This window comes from Homo sapiens, chromosome 9, assembly GCF_000001405.40.
Source record: "Homo sapiens chromosome 9, GRCh38.p14 Primary Assembly".
NCBI classification, from domain to species: domain Eukaryota; kingdom Metazoa; phylum Chordata; class Mammalia; order Primates; family Hominidae; genus Homo; species Homo sapiens.
Window position 1 is genome coordinate 7,292,233 of NC_000009.12, and position 21,815 is coordinate 7,314,047.

General features: G+C 39.6%; 1 long non-coding RNA gene across 2 annotated transcripts in view; it reads left to right on the forward strand.

Moving 5' to 3' along the window:
- The first annotated feature begins 12,335 nt into the window (after positions 1 to 12,335).
- Positions 12,336 to 21,815, forward strand: part of LOC105375970 (uncharacterized) — a 42,693-nt gene continuing 33,213 nt past the window's right edge. For both annotated transcript variants that reach the window (XR_007061414.1, XR_929460.3), the window contains exon 1: positions 12,336 to 12,451. This is a non-coding gene — a long non-coding RNA (uncharacterized LOC105375970). The remainder of the gene's footprint in view (positions 12,452 to 21,815) is intronic.

Consider the following 21,815-nt stretch of genomic DNA (forward strand, 5'->3'; position numbering starts at 1 on the left):
CTGGGATTACAGGCATAAGCCACCACGCCCATCCCAACATTTCAAATCTTAATGAGATAATTGATCTAAGCAATTCATAGCAATGCCTGCTAAGACCTTTAGTTGAAAAGCTGATAGGGAACTTTATAATAGATGAGCAGGCTGGTGACACCTGAACTCCTTGATCAATATTAACATCAGGCATTAGGTACCTCCTCATGTGATGTAATAGGAAGTACACAGCACCACCTATGAAGTCTTCTTGCCAAAACAACTGAAACTAAGTATAATCACCTAAGTATAATAATTCTGTTTACAGGAAATGTTGGGACATAGAAATGAAACATAATATATGGACTTTTTTTGGATTTGAATTTAAACAAGCTGACTACTTAAAAATACATAAGACAATAAGAGACAGTTGAGCACTGACTGAATATTGGATGATACTGAGGAATTATTAACTTTTTCAAATATGGTAATGGTTATATTTTTTAAAAAACTATTTTTTTTTGTAGCTACAAATGGATATGTTTATCTATGAATTAGCATAAAGTTTGAAATTTGTTTCAAAATAATGCAGTGTATGTGTGAGGGGAGTGAATGGGGTTATGGATTGACAAGTGTGAAGCTGGGTGATGGGTAATGGAGCTCTTTGGCTTATGTTTGACAGTTTCCATAATAAAGTGTTTGAAAAGAATGAGCTATGGTCAACCACCTTTCAATCAATGCAATTTTGGCTTTTGCTGCTCTGGCTGTAGGCAGGGGCCTTGATGTGAAGGCTCTGGCAGACAAGCCATGGCTGTGTAGAAGCTGCCTTGGGAGTGAGGAATTGCATGGTCAGGGCCTTTGAAATACCTGGGACCACGGTTTTCCAGGACTCTGCTGTACTTGTGTATTGATCTTCCTCTTCCCCTTCCTCTCACTCCTGCTGGTTCCTCTCAATCACCGGAGTGGTGACAGGATTCAGTGGAATGATCTAGATGAGATGAACTCTGGAGGATTTGCTCTCAGAAATGGTGGCATTGGTTGTTAGTCACATGCCTCTTCTTGCTTACACTGTGATTCTGGGACTAACCACAGACCACATGTCAAAAACCATCCTCTTGTACTGGTGCCTGAGACTTGACATCACTTCTCCATTGCCAAACATAGAGTGTTGGATCCTATTGAAAGATAAAGTCCATGTAAAAGGGATGACTCTGTAACTGATCAGTTTTCAAGTTAAGGTGCCAAGAAAAAAACTTATGCTCAGAGGGTTCTGTTACTCATTTGGGTATGACTGTTTTCATCTACTCTAGTAAAAATGTTAAATAAAGGGATGGAATAGTATTAATCGTAAAATTTTCTCCATTCAGATCTTTTCGTGCTCTTGGTGTATGCTATTGTTTATATATATTAGAATCTAAGATGATATCTGATTTAATACAGAATTATTATTGATTTTAATTTTCATATGGTAACTTTTCATGATATTCCAAGAAGAACACTATGATTTTTAGGGGGTTCTGCTACTAGGTAAAGTTTGAGAACAGAGCACTGCAGAATGACTTATATTTTAGTGTGAGTGAAGGATTTGAGGGTGAGTTTGATGAGAGGCAGAATAGCTTTATTCTAGGTGAGAACTGAAATTGGAAAAACCTCAACCCAACCCTTGTCTTGTTTAAGAATGTGTTTCCTTGACAACACCATTTAAGCACAATAACTTAAGTGAAGGTTAAATTCTTAGGAGTAACACCCAAGCAGGGAGAGATGATATTTCAGCTTAGCTTTTTCTGGGTGTTAGTGACTGAACCTGCTGGGTCATAGGCTGTAAGGTTTATTTCTTACTCTAGAGAATATACTTGTAATGACACAAGAATAGAAATTAATCAGAGTTTTTTTTTTTTTTCATTCCTTCTCATCTTTGTTTAAGTAGTTCAAGATCTTAGCCAAGGGATGGGGACAATTGCTGGCAAGAAAGGAAGCTTTCTGAATGGGTGTGAACCTTGAAACTCAGAATAAAACCGACTGGACAGGGACACCTTGAATTTAATTCACATTTTTAATCTGAAAAATTGGAGGGAAGGGCAGGAAGCATTTAGACTATCAGCAAATTAACTATTACTGTCTCCGGCCTCTCCTTCAATTTAAGGCAGCTGGGGTACGTGTAAGCTAGATGTTACCAAAGGGAATCATGGTAAGATGTGTAACTAGAAGCTTAAAGATTGTGATTTCTAATCTTCGAAGGTTGATGTCTTCTGGGATATAGAGTGTCTACAATTATGCTCTATAGATAGAATTTGTCATTTATTGCTCAAGGATGAAAACAAGTATCCAAAAATTCTTTAAGTCTGTGTTATTCTTCCTATTCTATTTGGATCAAAATCTGTATTATCACTCTCCCCCTCTCTCTCTGTCAAATCATCTTTCTTGCTATCTCACATCTCTCATTGTATGCACCAGAGTCGTGCTGTTCACCAGCCACGTGTGGCTACTGAGCACTTGGCATGTGGCTAGTCCAAACTGAGATGTAAGTATTAAATAAACAGTGGATTAGGAAGACTAAGGATGGATAAATGAATATAAAATATCTCACCAATAGTTTTAAAATGTTGACTGCATGTAGAAATGGAAATAGATATATTCAGTTAAATAAAACATTATTAAAATTAACTTCAATATTTATTGCTTTTCTAATATGATGATTAGTATGTTCAAAATTACTGTGTAGCTCACATTATATTTCTATTGGATAGAGCCACACTAGAAAATATTCGTGACATCTTTAATTTGTCCTAGAGACCAGAGGTATGAGATCAGAAGCTGGATCCCTCAGTCTGAATTGTGGTTCTCCACTTTATACATATGTGGCCTTAGACAGTTCTAAAAATCTGCATGCCTTCGTGTCCTATTCTGTAAAATGCAGAGAGAAAGAGTTGCTCTTGCATCGGGTGATTATGAGATTGCCTGAGACAGTGGCTGGTTCAGAGCAAGTTATGAGTATTACTACTTCTGATGATATTCCTACTCTGTTGCCCTAACCCAGAGCTAATCTCTTGTGTTGCTGAAAATCAGAGACTCTGTTGCAAGAAGGGGTAGGCAGCAGCCTCCCCACTCTTCCCACTATTTACTCATTTTTACTTGCAGTCAACTTCACACCCATATGCCCTTGTGTGGTCTGAATGTGTCCCCCAAAGGAATGTGTTGGAAACTTGATCCCCAGCACAGCGGTGTTGGGAAGTGGGGTCTTTTTTTTTTTTTTTTTTTCTGAGACGGGGTTTCACTCTTGCTTCCAGGCTGGAGTGCAATGGTGTGATCTCGGCTCACTGCAACCACTGCCTCAGGTTCAAGCGATTCTCTTTTTTCAGCCTCCTAAGTAGCTGGGATTACAGGTGTGTGCCATCATGCCCAGCTAATTTTTGTATTTTTAGTAGAGATGGAGTTTTGCCATATTGGCCAGGCTGGTCTCAAACTGTGGATCTCAGGTGATCCACCCACCCCGGCTTCCCAAAGTGTGGGGATTAAAGGCATGAGCCACTTCGCCTGGCTGGAAAGTGGGGTCTTTTAGGAAGTGTTTAGGTCGTGAGGGGTCTGTCCTCATAAATTAATTAATGGTCTTATTAAAAGGGTTTGTGAGAGCGGGTTCTTTCTCTCCTGTTCTGCCATGTGAAGACACAGGGTTCGTGTGTCTTCACATGGCACACCTTCCGCCTTCCACCATGTATTCACATGGCACACCTTCCACCTTCCACCATGTATTATTAGCCCTTCCGCCTTCCACCATGTAAGGACACAGTGTCTTGGCCCACACCAGATGCTGGTGCCTTGATCTTGGACTTTCCAGCATCCTGAACTGTGAGGAAATAAATTTATTTTCTTTATAAATTACCCAGTCTGTAGTCTCCTGTTATACCAGTGCAAAACAAAGATGTGCCCCTTTAACATTTGAGGACAGGGACTGCACATTCGATTCCTTCATTTCACCCACAGAGTTCTACATATGGATGATGCACAACAAATAATTGTTTATAACAAAAAAAAGGAGAACATAGCTTATCTAGGAAATACAGATTTGGTGATTTGAACAAGTTTAAAGAATATCTTTGGAAACATGCTGAGAGCCTATGACATCACCATGTAATATGTCTTTTGTTTCTCATGGCAACCTGAAAGATTATTAAATTGACTATTGACTGCTGCTTTTAAGCAATATGCAACAAGAATTTCCTTCAGAAAAAAAGCTATGCATTTTTCAAAAAGGAAGAGAATGTGTAACGTCTGAAGATCTTCATTATAAGTCATTCTTTGTTTCAAAATTATACTTGCTTGCCTTTCTGTTTCTATTAGAAATAAAAACACACTCCTTCATGCCTCAAATGAGGTAAGATAATGGTGGTAGGATATCAGTCCTAAGCCTGTCCCAGGGAAGTAAGGGGTTATAATTAGGTGGCCCATTGAGCCTCAACCCTCACTCTGAGGAAATAATCAGAAGCGGGGAACACATCTTTTTTCTTCTGAAGTGCTGGTGGAAGCTTAGCTGGAGGTACTGGTGCCACCCTTTTTTAGCTGTCCCCAAAGGTCAAATATCCTGATCCAGTTTCAGGTTGAGGCCCATCTGGATAAATGAAGACCACAAACTACAGGTGAGAGAAGCCAAGCATGTACTATCCAGTGGCTTAACTATGCATTCTGTAGGGGATCAAAAGACAGCAAACCTCCTTGGTCAATCACTGTGTATAACACCCATCTCCCTAATATTCAATCAATCTGAATGAGTGCTGTCCCAGACCGAGGTAGCCTCTCTGATTTAGCAGCTTTTAAAACTGGCTACCATAACATCCTATAGGATGTTGTTCATCCAGTATCACAGGGTCCAAGAAATCTATCCTCAGTCATTTTACTTAGAGGCAACTTACATGAAATCCACCCGAGTGAGCCATGTGGTGGAATGTGAGAATGGTCCCAACTCCAACTCAGAGAAATCTCGCTGTAAGGAATGTTCAGGAAGAAATGTAGAGATTGAATCCAAAGATTAATTAAAAGATCTCGGCCGGGTTTGGTGGCTCATGCCTGTAATCCCAGCACTTTGGGAGGCCTAGGTGGGTGGATCACGAGGTCAAGAGATCAAGACCATCCTGGCCAACATGGTGAAACCCCGTCTCTACTAAAAATACAAAAAAAAAAAAAAAAAAAAAAAAAGCTGGGCATGGTGGCGCGCGCCTGTAGTCCCAGCTACTTGGGAGGCTGAGGCAGGAGAATCACTTGAACCCGAGAGGACGAGGTTGCAGTGAGCTGAGACTGTGCCACTGTACTCCAGCCTGGTGACAGAAGGAGACTCTATCTCAAAACCAAAACAAAAACAAAACAAAAAAGATCTCATTTATTTGTAGTGTCTGTGCTATAGGATTTATGTTTCCTGAATTATGGCGCCAGTAAAAATACTCCATCCCTCTTGGCAAAGTGCAGAGAACAAATAATTTTACACAAACCTCAGAAGCCACACTGCACAAAGGAACAGGTGACCAGAGGACACTTGCTTCTGGCAATCCCTCAGACAAATTTGTAAAACAAGTAACAGTTGATTCAACAACCACAGGCTTTGGTCTTGTTTCAAACCCTTCTTCTCTGGAACTGGCCTTTTGCCTGAAGCCAGCTTTGGACCTATCCTGTACTATCCTGTCTCTACTTTCCTCTTCTGGATGAAGGAGAACATCCATTTGTTGTTCAGATAAAAAGTACTCTTGTGAGAATGAAACTAATAATGCTTCAGTGACTTTCAGAGGCTTCCTGGTTCCCACTGTATCAATTTAAACTCCTTTGTCAAGATTTCAGGATCCTCCAGTATTGTCAAACACATCTTGTTTTTCCCAGGAGTGCATGCTAAGCCTTTATTCCTTTTGTTCATCTCATCTAAAATTGCCTTCCTGCTTCTCATGTTCTGGCTGACATTTAAGGCTCCGTTTAAGTTCTATTTCCTCTGTGAAGATTTCATTGTTTCTTTTAGCTATTCTGAGGACATTTACTCAGTACCCACACAATGAAGCCACTACCCTGCCTTGTTCACTCTCACTTCTGGTGTGTAACTCATATCTCCCAGCTAGTGGTAAACCACCGCTTGACACTTCACTTTCCATGCCCAGAACTTATCTACTGCTGAGGTTACTGGGGGCTCTTTCTACAGAGAGAGGAAGAAGTTTCTGACATCGAAACTACCTCAAATGGAATGAGGTCATTTAGGATGTAATGAGTTCCTTGTCAGTGGAAGGTATCAGCTAGAGGTCACTGGAAGGGGCCTTCCCTAATGCATAGATCTTAGTTGATTTTTTATACACATTTGATGAATGAATGAATACAGGCTGTTGGGAAAGAGATTCAGATATTCAGTTGGCATGTGACAAAATTCTCAACACCAAGTTTCTATTATTCTATAAAATGGTTGCTCATTAAAGAAAAGCATTTGTCACATTCATAAAAGTCTTTTCTCATTTGGAAACAATTTCACATTTGTTACCTCACTTGATTTTAGCAAACTTGTGAGAGGTGTGAACGTTCACCATTATCTAAGTGTTACACATGAGGAAAGTGATGGAAACATAACAAGGATGTGTAGAAGGTGCATGAGGAGATGGGGGCACAACAATATCCAGGAAACAATGGTTGCCATGCTCTGGCCTTGGGCCATTTAGTGGTGGAGGGTTTGGGAGACAAGTCAGGGATAACAATGGAAAAATAAATCATAGTTAAACTTACTTATCGAGTTTGTGCTTGGATCCACTGGACTACCTATTAAACCAGGACACTATGCAGAAGCTGCTGGTTTCCTCTTCAACAAAGAAGTTAGAATTGCAATTTGGGTGAACATTTTTAACTGAGTCATAGCTGCTCTTTTATTACCTTGTGATAGGGTCCAAAAAACACTCAGAAAATTTGAAAATTCCAAACCGTGCGGCTTCAGGAAATGTATATGAAATTTATTTCTTGCTTTAGTGGAATGGTGGATATGAAGCCATCAGATAACAAGGAATGCCTTTTTTTTTTTTTTGAGACAGGGTTTTGCTCTGTAGCCTAGGCTGGAGTGCAATGATGCGATCTCAGCTCACTGCAACCTCCACCTCCTGGGTTCAAGTGATTCTTGTGCCTTAGCCTCCTGAGTTGCTGGGACAACAGGCATGTGTCACCATGTCTGGCTAATTTTTGTATTTTCAGTAGAGACGGGGTTTCACCATGTTGTCCAGGCTGGTCTTGAACTCCTGGTCCCAATTGATCTACCTGCCTCAGCCTCCCAAAGTGTTGGCATTACAGATGTGAACCATGGTGCCTGGCCAGGAATACCTATTTTAAGAGTAGAATGTGTTAAAGCGCTGAGGTAAATCATAGTAGTATTTTCCTAATGCTCTCTTGTAAACCTTGACAGTATAATATGAATTCAGCAACACAGTTATCAATCAGATACAATGTTCAAATCATTTTGCTGAACACCTGTCAAAAGCTTTGGTTATGCTCCCTGTTGAAGAGGACATCATGAAAAGACTTGGGCAGTATTGTAAGTGTGAAGTAGGAGAATGACAAATTGATCAGGGTGTATTATATGTGGCTATATTTGTTTTCTATCACTACCTAACAAATTATCACAAATGAAGCAGGTTAAAATGACTCACAGGAGTCGTCAGGACTCAGCTAAGATGTGCCCAGTGCACATCTTAGCAGGGTCCTCTGCTTAGAATTTCACAAAGCTGCAGTCAAAGTACTGGCTGGATTGAATTGCTTTCTAGATCTCAGGATTCTCTTTTAGGTTCCCTCATGTTGTTGACAGAACTCAATTCCTTGTGTTGTAGGACTGAGGCCCCTGCTGTATTGCTGGCTTTCAGCTGGGGCTGCCCTCAGCTCCTACAGCCACTCAGTTTCTTGCCTCATGGGCCTTCTCACAACATGGCAGCTTATGATTTCAAGGCCAGGAGGAGAATCTCTGACCTCCTCGGTTTCTGACTTCTAGACCCTCTTTTAAAGGACTTTCCTTATTAGGTCAGGCTTACAAAGCACAATCTCCTTTTTGGTTAACTTGAAATCAACTGATTAAGAATTTTAATTACATATATAAAAATCCCTTCCCTTTTGCCAAATAACATAACTTAATCACTGGAGTAAAATCCTACCATATTCACAGGTCACTAAAGGAAGGGGATTATACAGGGCATGCAGATCAGAAGTGGAAGTCTTCAGATCATCTTAGAATTTTTCCTATTATACTAGTGAATCAGAAGGCAAAACATCATCCTGTTAGTGATGTTTTTCCAGTACCAACTCTCCCATACCAGTTGGGTGTCCTACAATTCAATTCTGACACTATCTGAAGTGAGCATCAGATCCTACGGGTTAAGGGTGCAGACTGTTCTCATATCAGACAGCAGATGTAAGTCCCAGGGGCCGTCTGTACTTCTGTCTCATGAACCACAAATTTGAGGGTTCCTATGACCACCTCTCAGGTTCAATAATTTGCTAGAATGACTCACAGAGCTCAGGGAAGCACTGTAATTATGGTTACTGATTTGTTATATAGTATACAAATGAACAGCCAGGTGAAGAGTTACATAGGGCAACAAGGTCTGTGAGCAGAGTTGAGGGATGGGGCACAGTGCTACATGATATTTCCAGGCACGTCACCCTCCCAGCACATCCTTGTGTTCAGCAACCCGCAAATTTCCCAAATCTTGTTGTTTTAGGGTTTTTTATATGGGACTTCATTACATAACATTCAAGTGTTATGGACTGAATATTTTTGTCCCCCGCCATGTAAATTCACCTGTTGAAGCCCTAATCCTCAATTTGATAATATTTGGAGATGGGGTATTTGGGAGGTAATTAGGATTAGATCAGGTTGTGAGAGAGGGGCCTTCTTGATGAGACTAGTTGCCTTAAAAAAGGAGGAAGAAAGATCCTTCTCTCTTTGTCTGGCTCTGTGTGTGTTGTGTGTACGTGCACTGAGGAAAGGTCACATGAGGACATAGCAAGAAGGTGGACATCTGCAAGCCAGGAAGACAGCCCTTATCAGCAACCAAATTGGCCAGCACCTTGATCTGGAAGTACCTAGCCTCCTGTGAGAATAAGTTTTTGTTGCTTAAGACATCCAGTATATGGTATGTACTTGTGACAGCCAAGCCAACTAAGACAGCAGGTGCATGTAATTAAATTATTGGCCACATGATTGACCCTGATCTCCAGCCCCTGTTCACTTCTGGGGACCTCCTTGGTAGATAGGGGCTGAAAGTTTCAACCATGTAATTAGGTAGGAGAATGTGCGTAGGTTATATGCAAATACTATACCATTTTATATAAGGGACTTGAGCATCTGTGCATTTTGGTGTCTGAGGGCGGTCCTGGAATCAATCCTCCATGGATACCAAGGGAAGTCTGTATATGTGTATGTGCATATAACACACACACACACACACGCGCGCGCGCGCGCACACACACACACACACACACACACACACACACCAAGCTACAATATATATTCAACACCAAGCTACGATACATATACATATCTAACATCAGTGTGATTTCGGTGTTAATTCTCCAAACAAGGAAATGCTTAACCAGTGTCACCAAGGGGGTATCTTTTTCCTTCTTTAATACTAGACTTTCTTTTTCTGTGCATTTATGGTTATTCCTGATCTCACCTCAGTCTACCTCTGACGTGGATCCATGGTAGATCAAAAGTCTCATTTGGGAACAAGGACTGATAAAGGACTACTGGATTCTTAATCTTCCTGGATGCATTTGCACTATGTTTTGCCTGTTTGTTTGTTTGTTTTTGGAGATGGAGTCTCACTCTGTCGCCCAGGCTGGAGTGCAGTGGTGCAATCTCGGCTCACTGCAACCTCCGACTCCCGGGTTCAAGCAATTCTCCAGCCTCAGCCTCCCGAGTAGCTGGGATTACAGGTGCACACCATCACACCCAGCTAATTTTTGTATTTTTAGTAGCGACGGGGTTTCACCATGTTGGCCAGGCTTGTCTTGAACTCCTGACATTGCCCGCCTCGGCCTCCCAAAGTGCTGGGATTATAGGCGTGAGCTACTGTGCCCGGCCTGCAGTATGTTTTTAAAATTTGTATTTTATTTTTAATTTTTCTTCTTTTTTTAAATTTGTACAAATTTATGGGGCACATGTGAAGTTTTGTTACATGTATATAATATGTAGTAATCAAGTCAGGGCATTTAGGGTGTCCATCACCTGAGTACCAAATATTTTTGTTAAGTATTGTCACCTTACTCTATGAAACACTGAATTTATTCCATTTTACTGTATGTTTGTATCCTTTAATGCACTTCTCTTATCGCCTTCACTCCTCTCTACTCACCCTTCCCAGTCTCTGCTATCTTTCCACTCTCTTCCTCTATCTGATCAAATTTTTTAGCTCCCACATATGAGTGAGAACATGTGATATCTGTCTTCTTGTGCCTGGCTTATTTCACTTATGATAATAACCTCAAGTTCCAACCATGTTGCTATAAATGACATGATTTCATCCTTTAGAATGACTAACTAGTATTCCATTGTGTACATAAAGCACATTTTCTTTATTCACTCATCCATTGATGAACACGGGTTGATTCCATATCTTTGCTATTGTGAATAGTACTGTGATAAACATGGGAGGCAGGCATACCTCTGATAATGTTGATTTCTTTTCCTGTGCATAGATAACCCATTTGTACTATGTTTAAGCTTTGCAGGGGAGTCTTCATCAGCTGAGTGTCTACAGGTGTGATTTGCCCTGTCCATATTTATAATTGCACTCCTTGTCAGTGCCAAAAGTTAGACATATTCCTATCACCTGTTGCTGCTAGAGGATAGCACTGCTTTTCCTCAGTGTTATTCTAGTAGGGTTTTGCAATCTATTCTTAAGTTGAGGACAAGAAGAACAATCTTGATGAATGCACAGAAATGCCTTCAAATGTTTTCACAATTTTCCTCTGCATATGTTCTATATTGCACTCCAAAATGTATCCCTTAGCTGGAGCTGTGCTTACTTCTCCATGTCACCATTTCATTCTCATGTGTGCTCATGCTACAGCTATAAATTGCTTTAAACTGTTCCTCAGTAACTTAACACAACTTAGAACTGACACTTGAGATTATTATAATAATAATCTCAAGTTCCAACCATGTTGCTACAAATGACATGATTTCATGTCATTTGCATGCATCCAGGAAGACTATGACACTGTGGGCAGAGCAATGAGTGTCTTCTTTATTCCTAAGTGTCACCAAGCAAATAAGAAATGCCTGTGGGTGTCAGACACAGGTTCATGTAATTGTCAGGGGTAAGGAAGGAGAGGAAGAAGGGAGAGGGAAAAGACATGGGAAGGAAACATGGAAGAAGGTAGAGCAAAAGAAGAGAAAAAGAAACAAGTCCACTTTGTAGCAGAGGACACACACACACACCAAGATTACGTCAATGATGAAACCTATTTAAAATAGTTCTAAAGGTAATTTAGGTTTTTGAAGGGTTTTCTTGCAGAAGGAGCCTATACCATACCCCAAAATGGCTAACTGAAGACCAGGAACCAAGATACAGGACCAAATGGGGCAGAGAAACCAGGAGGAGTAGAGAGGTGAAGTCTCAGTGAGCCTGGAAGAATTTCCAAAGTGGAATGCAAGACAATCAGAGTGTTTTTAACCGGGGCAATTTGTTTCAGTTCCCAGAGTTAGGGGTGACAGGTCAGTACCTAGAAGCGGGTCTCCTGACCCCACTGTGGAACACACTCGTCTCTGAGGCCCAGACCCTGCAGCAGGGCAGCACATCTGATTATATGACTCTGACGAAATGTCAGAGAAATGAAAACAAATGGCTGAGCAGTCCCTGGGGGTATAAAGAGTTCAGTTATTAAGCTCCTCGACCAGAAACATCGAGATTTAGTCATCTAGGATGATTTTATTCCATTTTCTATTATGGGCTGCACCACATAAATCTGTGTTTTATTGCTGGAGTGAGATGCCAGATAATTTCGAGATTACTTTTGGCACTGTCTGAGTTAGCTCACTGCTGTGCCGACAAGTGCTTGTGGAAAATTAGCAGCAATGATATTAATCACCTTCTTTGGGGCTTCCCCCACACCAACCCTCCTAGAGCTTTGTTTTGTCCTTCTTCCAAAAAACAAGAAAACAAAAACATTTCTTCAAAAATGCAGGTATCTCAAGTGGAATTAGAGAGTGGGGTGAGGTCAGGAAAGAGAGGTAGTAGTCGTGTCTGAGACACAGGAGAGGTGGGACGTAATGAGGCATCCATTGTGTGATGCTATTGTTATGTCATATTTCTCATGCTGGAATCCTCTGTGATGAGACTGCTGGGAAATGGAAGGAAAACAAGGAAAAGCGATATTGAAGAACATAAAAGTATAGCCAGTTTCCTCCTTTGATCAGCACATTCAACTGGTGCAATACAGGGATGGAAAGGAAGGCAAGAAATGGAGGTGGATGAATGGACAGGTGGATGAATGGACGGGTGGATGGGTGAGGGATTTAGTGCACACACAACCTCACACCCGTACACGTACACATACTCATGTAGCTCTGAAAAAGGCAGTTTATTTTGGGGCCAACTGCCTTGACAATTGATGCTTTCATTCTCTGTCTCACAATGTCCCCATTAGTCATGCTAGTGCCCTCAAACACTCTCCTATCCAAAGCTGATTTCTTTTTTTTTTTTTTTTAACTTTTATTTTAGGTTTGGGAGTACATGTGCAGGTTTGTTACGTAGGTAAACTCGTGTCACAGGGGTTTGTTGTACAGATTATTTTATCACCCAGGTATTAAGCCTAGTACCCAATAGTGATTTTTCTGTTCCTCTTCCTCCTACCCTCAAGTAGACCCCAGTGTTTCTTTCCTTCTTTGTGTTTGTAAGTTCTCATCATTTAGCTCCCACTTATAAGTGAGAACATGCAGTGTTTGGTTTTCTGCTCCTGTGTTACTTTGCTAAGGATAATCGCCTCCAGCTCCACTCCTGTTCCTGCAAAAGACATGATCTTGTTCCATTTTATAAAAAAGGTGATTTCTTGAGAATCTCTGAGCTTAGGTCAGAAATTGTATTAGTTTAAGTTACTGCATTGTCTACCCAAGGAGGTTCTGCTTTTGATAGAACAGCAACTTTGTCATTTCAGCACCTATACATATTTATTGAATTAAATGTAAGTCTCACATCCAAACTTATGTAGAGAACAAAAGGGTTTGCTTCCTACTGCAGAAATTTCTGGTATTAAGCAAACTGTTTCTGGGGGGCAGTATGGATAAGCAGACAACTGGGATTTCTTGGGAAGCCAACTTAGATGTTACCAAGCATTGCCTATGAACAAGTTTGGCTCTAATTGCTATTAATATGTACACACAAATCCACATAAACAGTCCTCATTGTGGACCAAGAGCCCCTGAGAGTTCTTTTAAGCCATTATACACAAACTCTAGCCATTCACAGGCCCTCTCTCCACTACTTTTCCATTTCTTTACTTTACCTCATGCTCCCGTTATAGCTATTCTGTCCTAAACTTTCCCTCTCATTCAGCTAGATATTTCCCTTCTGCTCACTCCCTGACTCTGGATGTTCTCTACTCAACCTACCTCCCCTGCACACCCAGTATTCACCTATTCTCTTCAGTGACTCTGGACAGCATCACCTGGTTGGGCTCATCTTCTGGTCGGGCTCAGCTGATGGAGGCATCAGTAGGAGACAAGTCTATGGGAGGAGAGTGAGGAGTTGGAGTGTTCCCAGCTACTCCTTTCCTGTGCTGCTGTGGTTCTCACAGTGGCTGCGACACTTTACAACACAGTTTCTACTGGGTGGTCCCTCTTTCATGGTTTCAGCTCTTACTAGGTTTACTAACACCACTTGTTTTCCTTGCCCCATGAAGTGTATAGGGTAATGGTTCCCCACTAATGCTGGTTGTTGGGTACGTCATCATCTATTGTTGGTACTTCGAGTATTTTGCCTATTTCTAGCTAGAACCCTGATTAATACAACCATTTTCTAATCATTTCCATTGTCTTTTAAACTTCCTTCCTTTCGTTGTCAACAAATTCCTGTGTTGTTTCCCTTTCTTCTTAAACACCCTCTATCTTTTCACTTAAGCTAAAGCCATTTTCTCCACTGCAAATATCACATGCTTTGCAACTCACTTAAATGAAAGCTTCTCTTTCTCCCATGTACCCTATGTCTTGGGACTAAGTCGGGGAGTTTATGGCTGTTTTCATTGCATCATTCTGCAGCTTCTAGAACTTTAGTCTACCTTAGACATTCTGCATCCCCTTACCCTCTGATGCCACACTTCCCCTTCATAGTGACTGGTTTCCCTGCCCTGCTCAAATCACCACTCATCCCACAAGCTAAAGACATTCTTCTCGAGGATTCTAGCTCTGGCTCATGGTCTTCCCATTCACTCATCTCTTCATCCATTCTTACATGTTGTAGGAACTCAATAAATGAGAGCAAATATCATTATTCCCTTCAATCAATCCCCCAACAGTCTGATATATTTTCCATTCTTTTAATAAAAACTTCAATCTTCACCTTTGCCACCTCATTTTTTTTTTTTGCTTTCTCTTCATTCCTTTATTTCCTAAAAATCTTACTTCTTTCCATCATTCCATTGAAAGTTCTCTCTCTTTTTTTTGAGACAGAGTCTCGCTCTGTCATTCAGGCTGGAGTGCAATGGTGTGATCTTGGCTCACTGCAACTGCTGCCTCCTGGGTTCAAGTGACTCTCTTCAGTCTCCTGAGTAGCTGGGATTACAGGCACCCACCATCATGCCTGGCTAATTTTTGTATTTGTAGTAGAGATGGGGTTTCACCATGTTGGCCAGGCTGGTCTTGAAGTCCTGACCTCAGGTGATCCACCTGCCTTGGCCTCCCAAAGTGCTGGGATTATAGGCATGAGCACCCAGCCTGAAAGTTCTCTTTAAAGTTCACCGCTGAGGTGCCAGTTACTACTACATACAATGATTTCTTTTCAGTTTTATCCTACTTTTTGCTTCACTTTAATTCAACATTGCAAATATTTTTGAATGTGTTCTAGGTGCCTGGTACTGTGCCAAGTGACCTTGTGGGCCAAAACTCCTCACATAATTTTGTAATCTGTATATATTTTGTGTGTGTAGTTATTTAGAATATTTTCTATTTATTTATTTTACTGTTATTGATACATAATATTTACATATTTATGGAGAACATATGAGTGTTTTTTACTTGCATAAAATACGTAATGATAAAGTCAGAATATTTGGGGTATCTATCATCTTAAATATTTATTATTTATAGGTGTTGACATCAAGTCCTCTCTTCTAGTTACTTGGTAGTATACAAAGTTTTCTTGCTAAGTATAGTCACACTAGTCTGATATCAAACATTAAAACTTTTTTCTTCCATATAGCTGTATGTTGGTACCCATTAACCAACTTCTTTTCATCCCCCTCCCATATACACTCATCCTTCAGAATCTCTGGTATCTATCATTCTATTCTCTATGTCCATGAGATCAAATTTTTTAGCTCCCTTATATGGGTGAGAAAATGCAGTACTTGTCTTTCTGTGCCTGGCTTATTTCACTTAACACAATGATCTCCATTTCATCCATGTTGCTGCAGATGACAAGACTCAATTTTTTATGGCTGAATAGTATTCCATTGCGTATATATACCACATTTTCTTTATCTCTTTGTCTGTTGATGAACATTTAGGTTGAATTCATATCTTTGCTATTGTGAATAGTACTGCAATAAACATGGAGGTAAGGGAACCCTTTGATATACTGATAAATACCTAGTAGTAAGATTGTTCACTGCTGAGAGATCTCAGTATTGTTTTACATAGTGGTTCTGCTAATTTACATTCCCACTGACAGTGTATAAGAGTTGCCTTTTCTCTGCATCCTCATCAGCATCTGCTATATTTTTTCTTTTTAATAGTAGCCATTCTAATTATCTATATCATATCATATATCATATGTGATAGTGTATCATGATATGATTTTCATTTTCCTGATGATTAGTGGTGTTGAGCCTTTTTTCCACGTAACTGTTGGTCATTTGTATGTGTTCTTTTGGGAAAGGTCTATTTAAGTCCTTTGCTAATTTTTAAGGGGATTATTATTACTATTTTTTAATGTTGAGTTGTTTGAGTTGCTTTTATATTCTGAATATTAGCCTCCTGTTGGATGAGCAGTTTGCAAATATTCTCTTTTCCAATTTGAATGCCTTTTATTTATTTCTCTTGTCTGATTGTTCTGGCAAGGACTTCTAGTACTATGTTGAACAGGAGTAGTAAAAATGGGCATCCTTATATTGTTCTAGTTCATGGAGAAAAGGCTTTCAACTTTTCCCCATTCAGTGTATTAGCAGTGGTTTTGTCATATGCGACCTTTATTATTTTAAGACATGTTTCTTTTACGCCTCATTTTGTTGAGAATTTTTATCATCAAGGGTGTTAAATTTTGTTTTTTTGACCTTCATTATGTTGCTGTGGTGTGTTGTGGGAAGTCAGGGACCCTGAACAGAGGGACTGGCTGAAGCCATGGCAGAAGAACATAAATTGTGAGGATTTCATGGACATTTATTAGTTCCCCAAATTAATACTTTTATAATTTCTTACGCCTGTCTTTACTGCAATCTCTGAACATAAATTGTGAAGATTTCATGGACACTTATCACTTCCCCAGTAAATACTCTTGTGATTTCCTATGCCTGTCTTTACTTTAATCTCTTAATCCTGTCATCTTCGTAAGCTGAGGATGAATGTTGCCTCAGGACCCTGTGATGATTGCATTAACTGCACAAATTGTTTAAACAATATGAAATCTGGGCATCTTGTAAAAAGAACAGGATAACGGCGATGTTCAGGGAACAAGGGAGATAACCTTAAAGTCTGGCTGCCTGTGGGCCGGGTGGAACAGAGCCATATTTCTCTTCTTTCAAAAGCATATAGGAGAAGTACAGCTGAATTCTTTTTCTCAGCAAGGAACGTCCCTGAGAAAGAGAATGTGTTCCCAAGGGGAGGTCTCTGAAATGGCTGCTTTGGGAATGTCTGTCTTTTATGGTTGTAGATAAGGGATGAAATAAGCCCTGGTCTCCTGTAGCACTCCCAGGCTTATTAGGACGAGGAAATTCCTGCCTAATACATTTGGTCAGACCAGTTATCTGCTCTCAAACCCTGTCTCCTGATAAGATGTTATCAATGACAATGCGTGCCCGAAACTTCATTAGCAATTTTAATTTCACCCCGGTCCTGTGATCTTGCCCTGCCTCCATTTGCCTTGTGATATTTTATTACCTTGTGAAGCATGTGATCTCTGTGACCACACCCTATTCATACACTCTCTCCCCTTTTGAAAATCACTAATTAAAACTTGCTGGTTTTGCAGCTTGGGGGGGCATCACGGAACCAGCTGACATGTGATGTCTGCCCCGGACACCCAGCTTTAAAATTTCCCTCTTTTGTACTCTTTCCCTTTATTTCTCAGACCGGCTGACACTTAGGGAAAATAGAAAAGAACCTACGAAGAATTATCAGGGGTGGGTTCCAGAGCAATCCAGTGATTGCTCTGGCAAGGACTTGTAGTACTATGTTGAATAGAAGTGGTAAAAATGGGCATCCTTATATCGTTCTAGTTCTTGGAGAAAAGGCTTTCAACTTTTCCCCATTCTGTATATTAGCTGTGGTTTTGTCATATGCGACCTTTATTATTTTGAGTTATGTTTCTTCTACACCTCATTTTGTTGAGAATTTTTATCATCAAGGGTGTTAAATTTTTGTTTTTTGCCCTTCATTATGTTGCTGTGGTGTATCTTGTTTATTGATGTATATATGTTGAACTATGCTTGCATCCCTGCTACAAATCCCACTTGATCATTGTGTATTATCTTTTTGGGGTGCTGTTGGATTCAGTTTGATAGTATTTTGTTGAGAATTTTTGCATCTATGTTCATCAGGGATATTGGCCTGTAGTTTCATTTTTTTGTTGTATCCTTGTCCAGTTTTGGTATCAGGGTAATGTTGGCCTCATAGAATGAGTTAGGGAGAATTCTGTTCTCTTCAACTTTTTGGAATAGTTTGAGGAGGATAGGTATTAGTTGTTGTATTAGTCCGTTCTCACACTGCTAATAAAGACATAACAAAGACTATGTAATTTATAAAGGGAAAAGGTTTAATTGGCTCACAGTTCTGCATGGCTAGGGAGGCTTCAGGAAACTTACAATCATGGTGGCAGGGGAAGCAAACATGCCCTTCTTCACATTGTAGCAGGAAGGAGAACAATGAGTGCCCAGTGAAGGGGGAAGCCCGTTATGAAACCATCAGATCTCATAAGAACGAACTCACTATCACGAGAACAGGTTCAGGGAAACTGCCTCCATGATTCAATTATCTCCACCTGGTCCCTTCCATGACACATGGGGATTATGGGAACTACAATTCAGATGAGATTTGAGTCCAGGGACACAGCTAAACCAGATCAGTTATCCTTTATACATTTGGCTGAATTCAGCAGTGAATCCATCTTGTCCTGAGCTTTTCTTTGTTGGGAGGTATTTTATTACTGATTCAATGTTGCTGCTTGTTTTTAGTCTATTCAGGTTTTCGGTTTCTTCCTCATGCAATCTTGGTAGGTTGTATTTGTGTAGGAATTTATCAATTTCCTCTAGGTTTTCCAGTTTGTTAGCATATAGTTGTTCATAAGAGCCTCTGATGATCCTTTGCATTTCTGTGGTATCAGTTGTTTATTGGGTCTTCTTTTCTTGGTTAGTCTAGCTAGAGGTTTATCAATTTTGCTTATCTTTGTGAAGAACAAACTTTTTATTTAATTGATCCTTTATATTTTTATCAGTCTCTATTTCATTTACGTTTGCTCTGATCTTTATTGTTTCTTTTCTTCTGCTGATTTTCCATTGATTTGTTCTTAGTTTTCTGGTTTCTTGAGGTACATCATTAGATTGTTTATTTGAAATATTTCTCTTTTTTTGATGTAGGCATTTATTGCTATAAACTTCCCCCTTAGCACTGCTTTTGCTTTATCTCACAGTTTTTGATATGTTGTATTTCCATTTTCATTTGTTTCCAGACATTTAATTTCTTCATTGACCCATTGGTCCTTCAGAAGCATGTTGTTCAATTTGTATGTTTTTATAATTTCCAGTGTTCCTCTTAGTTTCAATTTCTAGTTTTATTGTGGTCTAAGAAGACACATGATATAATTTTGATTTTCAAAAATTTGTTGAGACTTGCTTTGTGGCCTAACATATGGTCTATTTTGGAAAATGCTTCATGTACTGTTGAGAAAAATGTGTATTTTGCCAATGTTGGATAAAATGTTCTGTAAATGTCTATTAGGTCCATTTGCTGTAAGGTCCAATTTAAATCTAATGTTTCTTTGTTGATTTTCTGTCTAGATTATCTGTCTAATGCTGAGAGTGGGGTGTTGAAGTCCAGATATTATTGCACTGGAGTCTCTCTCTCTCTTTAGATCTAGTTAATATTTGCTTTATCAATCTGGGTGCTCTGGTGTTGGATGCATATATATTTAGAATTGTTATGGCTGGGCATGGTGACTCACTTCTGTAATCCCAGCACTTTGGGAGGCTGAGGCAGGCAGATCACTTGAGGTCAGGAGTTCAAGACCAGCCTGGCCAACATGGCAAAACCCCATGTCTACTAAAAAATAAAAAAATTAGCTGGGCATTGTGGTGCACACTTGTAGTCCCAGCTACTCAGGAGGCTGAGGCATGAGAATCACTTGAACCTAGGAGGTGGAGGTTGCAGTGAGCTAAGATTGCCCACTATATTCCAGCCTGTTATTTTTTTTGAACTCCTGGCCCCCCCGCCAACAAAAAAAAAAGAATTGTTATATCCTCTTGCTGAAATGATCCCTTTATCCTTATATAATAACTTTCTTTGTCCTTTTTTATACTGTTTTTGATTCAAAGTTTGTTTTATCTAATATAAGTAAAGCTACTTCTGCTCATTACTGGTTTTCATTTGTGTGGAATATCTTTTTCCATTCTTTTACTTTTAGTCTGTATGTGTCTTTACAGGTAAATTTTCTTTCTTGTAGGTAGCATATAGTTGGGTTGTGTGTTTTTTTTTTTTTAATTCATTCAGCTAGTCTATATCTTCTAAGTGGAGAATTTAATTCATTTGCATTCAAGGTTATTATTCCTATGTGAGGTTTTGTTCTTGTCATATTGTTTATTGGTTTCTGGTTGTTCTGTATATCATTTATTCCTTTCATTTTCTTTTATTTTTTGCCTTTGTGGTTTAGTGGTTTTCTATAGTGGTACCATTTGGATCTTTTCATCATTTGTGTTTTTGCTTTAACAGTGAGTTTTAGACTTTAATGTGTTTTCACGATGGTAACTCTTGTCCTTTCTCTGCCAGGTTCAGTACTCTCTTGAGCATTTCTTCCCTGGTCTAGTGCTAATCAATTCTCTCAACCTTTGTTTGTTTGAAAATACTTTATTTCTTCTTCATTTATGAAAGATTATTTTGCTGGTTATAGTATCCTTGGGTGGCAGTTTGTTTTCTTTCAGTACTTTGAATATGTAATTCTATTATCTCCTGGCTTATATAGTTTCTGCTGAGAATTCTGCTGTTAGTCTGATGGGGGTTTCTTTATAGGTGACTAGGTGCTTTTCTCTTGCTGTTTTTTTTTTCTCTCTCTCTCCTCTTTTCATTTCCCTATTGTCCCACTAGAGGATCTTGCTGTTTTTAGAATTCTCTTTTTCTTTGATTTTAGACAGTTTGACTATAATGTGCCACAGAGAAGAACTTTTTGCATTTTATCTGTTTGGGAATCACTGGGCCTTTTGTGTCTGGATGTTTAAATCTCTTGATAAACTTGGGAAGTTTTCATCTATTATTTTATTAAAAAGGCTATTGAACTCTTCTTTGGTCTCTTTGCTGTCTGGAGAAGTGATAATTTATTTATTTGGTTACTTTATGGTGAACCATGTATCACAAAGGCTTTATTCATTCTTTTTAATTCTTATTTATTTATTTATTTATTTATTTACTGAGATGGAGTTTCACTCCTGTTGCCCAGGCTGGAGTGCAATGGTGCAATCTCAGCTCACCACAACCTTCACCTCCTGGGTTCAAGCGATTCTCCTGCCTTAATCTCCCCAGTAGTTGGGATGAGAGGCATGTGCCACCATGCCTGGCTAATTTTGTATTTTTAGTAGAGACAGGGTTTCTCCATGTTTGTCAGGCTGGTCTTGAACTTCTGACCTCAGGTGGTCCACCCGCCTTGGCATCCCAAAGTGCTGGGATTACAGGTGTGAGCCACTGCCCCCAGCCCCCTTTTCTTTATTTTTGTCTGAATGAGTTATTTTAAAACACCTGTCTTCAAGTTTTGACATTCTTCAGCTTGATCTAGTCAATTGTTGAAGCTTTCAAATGTGTTTTGTATTTCATTCAATGAATTCTTCAGCTCCAATATTTCTGTTTGACTCTCTTTGATGATATTTCTTTAGTACATTTCTCATTCATATCCTGAATTATTTTTGTGATTTCTTTGTGTCACTTTTCAGAATTCTCCTGTATCTCACTGAGCTGTTTGGGTATCTAAATTTTGAGTTCTTTTCTGGGACTCCATGAATTTATTTTTGATTAGGATCTGTTGCTAGAGAATTATTGTGTTCCTTTGGAGGTGTCATATTTCCTTGCTTTTTCATGATTGTTGTGTCTTTACATTGCTATTTGTGTATCTGGTGCATTAGTCACTTCTTCCATTTTTTGGAATTTGCTTGTGTAGGGGATGATTTTTCTTGAAGATGTATCAATGATGTTGGTTGGGTGTGTGCAATAGTGTAGTCTCTGT